Genomic DNA, 8,381 nt, shown 5'->3' with positions numbered 1-8,381 from the left:
TAAACTTCTACCCTAAGACACTGGAAAAAGAGCAAACTAAACCTAAAGCAAGAAGAATGAAGGAAATAACGTATATTAGAGTTTAAATTAATGAAACAGGCAACAGAAAAACACTAAAGAAAATCAACAAAATGAATAGTTGGTCCTTTGAAAAGATCAACAAGGCTAGACTGATTAAGAAAAAAACAGAGAAAGGCTGGGTATGGTGGCTCACATCTGTAATCCCAGTCCTCTGGGAGGCCAAGGTGGGAAGATCACTTGAGGCCAGGAGTTCAAGACCAGCCTCAGTGTGCTCTCTTTGGCAGCACATATACTAAAATTGGAACAATACAGAGAAGATTAGCATGGCCCCTGCACAAGGATGATGTGCAAATTTTTGAAGTGTTCCATATTTTTAAAAATTTTTAAATTAAGAAAATATATGTAAATATATCTAAATTATAAAATTTAAAATATATATACCTATAAAAAAGTATATGTATATATATTTCATGACATTTATATATATGTATAATAACATATATATATATATTTGGGAGGCCAAGGCAGGTGGATCACTTGAGGTCAGGAGTTTGAGACCAGCCTGGCCAACATGGTGAAACACTGTCTCTACTAAAAATACAAAAAAAAAAAATTTAGTCGGATGTGGTGACACCTGCTTGCAATCCCAGCTATTCTGGAGGCTGAGGTGGGAAGATCACTTGAACCTGGGAGGTGGAGGTTGTGGAGGTTGCAGTGAGCCAAGATCGCATCACTGCTCTCCAGCCTGGATGACAGAGTGAAACTCTGTCTCAAAAAAAAAAAAAAAAAAAAAAAAAAAAAAAAATATATATATATATATTTATATATATTTATATATCTATATCTATCTATCTATCTATCTATCTATCTATCTATCTATATATAGAGAGACCCCATCGCTCCAAAAAAATGAAAAATAAAAAAAATTAGCCAGTTATGATGACATGTACCTGTAGTCCTAGCTACCTGGGAGGCTGAGGCAGGAGGATTGCTTGAGCCCAGGAGTTCAAAGTTACAGTGAGCTACAATCACACTACCGCACTCCAGCCTGGGTGACTGAGTGAGATCCTGTCTCTCTAAAACAAGAACAGAAACAAAAAATGGAGAAGATTCAAATTAACTAAACTCAGGAATGAAAGAGGGAGCATTACTACTGACCTTTCAAAAATAAGGAAGGTTATAAGGGTATACTATAAATGACTATGCCAACAAATTAGATACCTTAGATGAAATAGACAAATACCTAGAAAATCACAAACTACTGAAATTGATTCAAGAAGAAATATAAATTCTGAATAGACCTATAATAAAAAGAGAAAGAGTAATTGGATAAGTAATCTAAAAGCATTTCACAAAGAAAAGTGAAGGCTTTAATGGTGAATTTTACAAAACATTAAAGACTTAACACCAATTCTTCACAAATTCTTCCAAATAACAGAAGAGAGAATACTTCTAAACTCATCCTATGAGGGCAGTATTAATCCTGATACCAAAACAATACAAAAACATCAGAAGAAAATTATATACCAATATGTCTTATGAATTTAGATGCAAAAATCCTGAACTAGCCAACCAAATTCAGCAACATATAAAAAGGGTTGGCCAGGCACAGTGGCTTACACCTGTAATCTTAGCACTTTGGGAGGCCGAGGCAGGCGGATCATGAGGTCAAGAGATTGAGACCATCATGGCTAACACGGTGAAACCCTGTCTCTACTAAAAATACAAAAATTAGCTGGACATGGTGGCATGCACCTGTACTCCCAGCTACTAGGGAGGCTGAGGCAGGAGAATAGCTTGACCCAGGAGGCGGAGATTGCAGTGAGCCAAGATCGTGCCACCATACACCAGCCTGGCAACAGAGTGAGAGTCTGTCTCAAAAAAAAAAAAAAGAGTTATATACCATGACAAAGTAGGATTTGTATCAGAAATGCAAGGTTGGTTTGACATCCAAAATCAATTAATGTATTATGCCATATCAATAGAACAGAGGACAAAACCCACATTTCAATGTGGTCTGTTGATGACCTCAATACACACAGCTTGGCTGGGATGGTGAAACCCTGTCTCTACTAAAAATACAAAAAAAAAAAAAAATTAGCTGGGCATGGTGACGGGCACCTGTAATCCCAGCTACTTGGGAGGCTGAGGCAGGAGAATCACTTGAACCCAGGAGGTGGAGGTTGCAGTGAGCTGAGATCGCGCCACTGCACTCCAACCTGAGCGACAGAGTGAGACTCTATCTCAAAAATAAAAAAAAAAGAAAAGAAAAAAAAAACCTCAACAAACTAGATATAGAAGGGGATTTTTCTCAACCTGATAAAGGGTAGCTACAAAAACCCTCTGCTAATGTCACACCTAATGATGAAAGTCTAAATGTTTTCCCTCTGAGATCAAGAACAAGACAAGAATGTCCACTCTCTGTGCTTCTATTCAACACTGTACTGCAGGTTCTGTCCATGGCAATTAGGTAAGAAAATGAAATTTATTTCATATACAGCTGGGCATGGGGGCTTACATCTGTAATCCCAGCACTTTGGGAGGTGGAAGTGGGTGGATCACTTGAGTCCAGGTGTTTAAGACCAGCCTGGGCAGCATAGTGAGACTTTGTCTCTATTTTTTAATAAATAAATAAATAAATAGCAGATCAACATACAAATCAGTTGTGTTTCTATACATTAGAAACGAACAATCTAAAAATGAAATTAATAAAATAATTTTATTTACAAGGACGTCAAAAAGAATAAAATAGGAAACAATTTAACAAAACAAATGTAGAAGGTATACTCCGTTTTTTTGTTTTGTTTTGTTTTGTTTTGAGGCAGAGTCTCGCTCTGTCGCCGGGCTACAGTGCAGTGGCATGATCTCGGCTCACTGCAACCTCCAGCTCCCTGGTTCAAGCTATTCTCCTGCCTTAGCCTCCCAAGTAGCTGGGATTACAGGCATGTGCCACCACGCCCAGCTAATTTTTGTATTTTTAGTAGAGACAGGGTTTCACCTTCTTGGCCAGGATGGTCTCGATCTCCTGACCTTGTAATCCACCTGCCTCAGCCTCCCAAAGTGCTGGGATTACAGGTGTGAGCCACCACGCCTGGCCAGAATGTATACTCTGAAAACTACAACATATTGAAGAAAGAAATTAAGGATCTAAATAAATGGAAAGACATTTCATGTTAGTGGATCTATAGACTGAACACAATCTCTATAACCACCCCAGTTGACTTCTTTGCAGAAATTGACAAGCTGATCCAAAATTCATATGGAAATGCAAGAAACCCATAATAGCCAAAACAATCTTGAAAAAAAAGAACAAACTTGGAGAACTCACACTTCTTGATTTCAAAATGTACTACAAAACTACAGTAGTTTCAAGACAACGTAGTCTACAGGATATACATGTATATCAATGGAAAAAAATTTGAGAATCTAGAAATAAGCCCTCACGTTTAGTCAATTGACTTTCAACAAGAATGTCAAGACAGTCAGGCATGGTGGCTCATGCCTGGAATCCCAGCACTTTGGGAGGCCAGACAGGAGGATAGCTTGAGTCCAGGAGTTCAAGACCAGCTTGGGCAACATGGTGAGACCCTGTCTTTACAAAAAAATAAAAAATAAATTAGCCAGGCATGGTGGCACATACCTGTAGTTCTAGCTACTTGGGAGGCAGAGGTGGGAGGATCACCTGAGCCCAGGAAGTTGAGCTGCCGTGAGCCGTGATAGCACCACTGCACTCCAGCCTGGGTGACATAACAATACCCTGTCTCTAAATAAATAAATAAATAAAATAAAATAAAATAAAATTTTTTAAAAGATGCCAAGACAATTCATTGGAGAAAGAATAGTCTTTTTAACAAGTGTTGCTGGGACAACTAGATATTCACATGCAAAAGAATGTCATTTTTTTCTCACATCATATCCCAGAATTAATTCATACACTTAAGAGCTAAAACCATAAAACTCTTAGAAGAAAATATAGGAATAAATCTTTGTGAGCCTGGGTTAGGTTAGATATGACACCGAAAGTGCAAGCAACCAAAGAAAAAATAGGTAAACTGGAGTTCATCAAAATTAAAAACTTTTACACTTCAAAGGATACCATCAAGAAAGTGAAAAGACAATCTATAGAATTAAAGAGGATATTTATAAATCATATATCTGATAAGGGACTTATATCAAGAACATGGAAATAACTCTTACAACTCAATAATATAAGGACAAATACATAAAATAAAAATAAAGACAAATAAATAAAATAAATAAAAATAGGCTAAGGATTTGAATAGACATTTCTCCAAAGAAGCTGTACAAATGGCCAGTAAGCACATGACAAGATGCTCAACATCATTAGTTGTCAGGGAAATGCAAATCAAAACCACAATGAGATACCACTTCATATGAAGACGGCTATAATCAAAAAGAGATAATAACGAAGTGTTGGTGAGTATGTGGGAAGTTGGAACCCTCATACACTGCTGGCAGGATTATAAACCGGTGCAGCCACTTTGGAAAATGGTCTAGCAGTTCCTCAAACGATTAAATGCAGAATTATCATATGACCCAGTAATTCCACTTCCAGGTATATAGCCAAGAGAAATAAAACACATTTATTGAGGCAAAGAGTTGCACACAAACATTCATAGCAGCTTTATTCAGAATAGCCAAAATAGTGGAAAAAACTCAATTCCATTACTGGTGAATGGATATATGAAATGTGGTATATCTATACAATGGAATATAATTTGACAATAAGAAAGAACATCAAGCACTTGTGAGTCAAAAAAAGAAATAAAGGACTGGGTGCGGTCTTTATTTCTATAGGCTCACACCTGTAGTCCCAACACTCTGGAAGGCGGAGGCAGCAAATTGCTTGGCTGGGGAGTCCGAGATAAATCTGGGCAACATAGTGAGACCTTGTTCTATTAAAAAAAAATACAAAAAAGTTAGCCAGACATGGTGGTGGCCCACTTCCAGTTGCAGCTACTCAGGAAGCTGAGGTGGGAGGATTGTTTGAGCCTGGGAGGTCAAAGTTGCAGTGAACCATGATCAGGCCATTGAACTCCAACCTGGGCAACAGAGGGAGACCTTGTCTTGAAAAAAAGAAAAAGAAATGAAGTATGGTATATGCTAAAACATGATTGAATCTTCAAAACAGGTTAAGAAGAAGGCCATCTCAGAGGACCACATTGGGTATGATTTCATTTATTGGTTGATTGTTATTTTTGAGACAGGGTCTCACTCTGTCACCAGGCTGGAGTGCAGGGCCCAATGTTGACTCACTGCAGCCTCGACCTCCTGAACCCAGGTGATTCTCCCTTGCTCAGCCTCTAGAGTAGCTGGGACCACAGGCATGCACCACCACGCTCAGCTAATTTTGTATTTTTTTTAGTAGAGACGGGTTTTCACCATGTTGGCCAGGCTGGTCTTGAACTCCTGAGCTCAAGCAATCTGTCCACCTCGGCCTCCCAAAGTGCTGGAATTGCACGCATGCGGCACCACATGCGGCACTTTTTTTTTTTTTTTTTCTGAGATGGAGTTTCACTCTTGTTGCCCAGGCTAGAGTGCGATTGCATGATCTTGGCTCACCGAAACCTCCGCCTCCTGGGCCCAAGCGATTCTCCTGTCTCAGCCTCCCGAGTAGCTGGGATTACAGGCATGTGCCACCATGCCCAGCTAATTTTGTAATTTTAGTAGAGACAGGGTTTCTCCATGTTGGTCAGGCTGGTCTCGAACCCTCAAACTCAGGTGATCTGCCCGCCTCAGGCTCCCAAAGTGTTGGGATTACAGGTGTGAGCCACCGTGCCTGGCCTTTTTTTTTTTTTTTTTTTGAGAGAGTCTCATTCTATCGCCCAGGCTAGAGCGCAGTGGCACAATCTCAACTCACTGCAACCTCTGCCTCCCGGGTTCAAGCGATTCTCCTGCCTCAGCCTCCAGAGTAGCTGGGATTATGGGTGCACACCACCATGCCCAGCTAATTTTTGGTATTTTTAGTAGAGACAGGGTTTCACCATGTTGGCCAGGCTGGTCTTGAACTCCTGACCTCAGGTGATCCTCCCACCTCGGCCTCCCAAAGTGCTGGGATTACAGGTGTGAGCCACCACGCCCAGCCTTGGCATATTCTTAAAAATTAATTAATTAATTTTGTTTTTGGAGACAAGGTCTCACTCTGTCACCCAGGCTGGAGTGCAGTGGCACTATCATAGCTCACTGCAGCCTCAGACTCCTGGTCTCAAGGAGTTCTCCTGCCTCAGCCTTCTAAGTAGCTGGGACTACAGATGTGGCCTCCGCACCTGGCTAATTTTTTTTTATTTTTGGTAGAGATGAGTTCTTGCTATGTTGGCCAGGCTTATGTATTTTTAAAGAAGTCATGGCCGGGCGCGGTGGCTCATGCCTGTAATCCCAGCACTTTGGGAGGCCAAGGCGGGCAGATCACGAGGTCAGGAGATCGAGACTATCCTGGCTAACATGGTGAAACCCTGTCTCCACTAAAAATACAAAAAATTAGCCAGGCGTGGTGGCGGGCACCCGTAGTCCCAGTTACTCTGAAGGCTGAGGCGGGAGAATGGCGTGAACCCAGAAGGTGGAGTTTGCAGTGAGCCGAGATCACGCCATAGCACTCCAGCCTGGACGACAGAGTGAGACTCTGTCTCAAAAACAAAAACAAAAACAAAACAAAACAAAACAAAAAACCAACAACAAAAAAAGAAGTCATAAACAGCATTATTACCTTGGTATATCATACTGGTCTTGTTGCTGTCACTTCACAGTTAAGTGGCTTTCCACCTTTCCTCCCTTCTCCCCCACAGTCTGGCTACGCAGTGCATCCTTGAACTGTTAGCCCACAGGAGCAACATGCTTATTCCATCCACATCCCTAACACCATGCATTCCCAAGGTCAAAGTTCTGGTCCACAATCCTTCCCTATTGCAAGTCCCATGCTTGCAAAAGAACACAAAGTAAACCAAGCCTCCCAGGATGGCTAGCTCCAGTGAGATGATGGAAAGCAGAAGCTTGTTGGTTATCACTTTTCTGGACTTAGAAGAGAGAATCTTTCGACTTTTGAACAAGTTTTCACTTGCGTTTCCCAGTGTACTCTTGGTACGTTCTCACTGGTCCCGTTGGTTCCCCAGCTCTTCTGAGATTTCTGAGCCAATCTGGTCAGTCTCTTGGGTGGCCCGGCCCAGGCTTTTGGTGCCTTGGAGAAGCATTGCCCTTTGAGACTGTAGCCTATTCATATGCTCATTCTCTACAGCATATGTGCCATATTTCATGTCTCCTCGGTCCCCAGGCATGGCTGCAAAGGTGTACTTCTTGCCTCCAGATGGAATTGGGCAAGGTCCTTCTGATAGTCTTGAAGCTTAGACATCATGGGGTTATGGAAAGATACGGGTGCATAATGTAGTTCCTCCTCCATCTGTGTCAGCATTTTGTTTGCTTCCTGTTGCTTTTCATCAAAATCTCTGATCAGCTTCTCCTGGGTCCCTGCCATACCCAGCAGCCACTAGTGCACCCCTTGGAGGCACATCTCGTGCAGCTGCTCAAAACGCTCCAAGGAGGTGGCAGAGAGAGGCATGGTGTAGGCGGTGCTTCAGCAGCGCCCACCAAGATTCTGGGCACTGGGCCCTCTCCTAGCTTGTCAGTCAGCAGCCCTGGCCTGTAGCCATCCCCACCACTGATGCCTGATTTCATTTATGTGAAATATCCAGAATAGGCCATGCATGGTGGCTCATGCCTGTAATCCCAGCACTTTGGGAGGCTGAGGTGGGCAGATCACTTGAGCCCAGGAGTTTGAGACCAGCTTGGCAACATGGCAAAACCCCATCTCTACAAAAATAATTTTTTAAGTACAAAATCTAGCTGGGTGTGGTGGTGTGCACCTGTGGTCTCCGCTACTCAGGAGACTGAGGTAGGAGGATTGCTTGTGCGAGGAGTTCAATGTCGCAGTGAGCTATGATGGCACCACTGTACCCAGAAACCACTGTCTGGGTGACAGAATGAGACCTTGTCTCAAAAAAAAAAACAGAAAAAAGAAAAAGAAAAGAAATATCCAGAAAGTAAATCAGTGGTTGCCCAAGGCTGGGAGGTTTTCGGGACATGGAGAGTGACTACTAGTAGGTATGAGATTTTGGGGGCCAGTGATGAAATGTGCTAACTGTGGTGATGGTTGCACAAATCTGAATATACTAACATTATTTTATTTATTTATTTATTTTGAGACGGAGTCTCGCTCTGTCACCCAGGCTGGAGTGCAGTGGTGCCATCTCGGCTCACTGCAAGCTCTTCCTCCCGGGTTCACACCATTCTCCTGCCTCAGCCTCCCGAGTAGCTGGGACTACAGGTGCCCGCCACCACGTCCAGCTAAT

General features: G+C 42.1%; 2 pseudogenes; one reads left to right on the top strand and one right to left on the bottom strand.

The window, feature by feature from the left end:
- RNU6-333P (RNA, U6 small nuclear 333, pseudogene) lies at positions 290-395 on the top strand (annotated as a pseudogene).
- On the bottom strand, positions 6,755-7,682 carry VTI1BP3 (vesicle transport through interaction with t-SNAREs 1B pseudogene 3; annotated as a pseudogene).

The sequence above is a fragment of the Homo sapiens genome, chromosome 12, assembly GCF_000001405.40.
Source record: "Homo sapiens chromosome 12, GRCh38.p14 Primary Assembly".
Lineage (NCBI taxonomy): Eukaryota > Metazoa > Chordata > Mammalia > Primates > Hominidae > Homo > Homo sapiens.
This window is presented reverse-complemented; position numbering and strand designations above follow the sequence as displayed.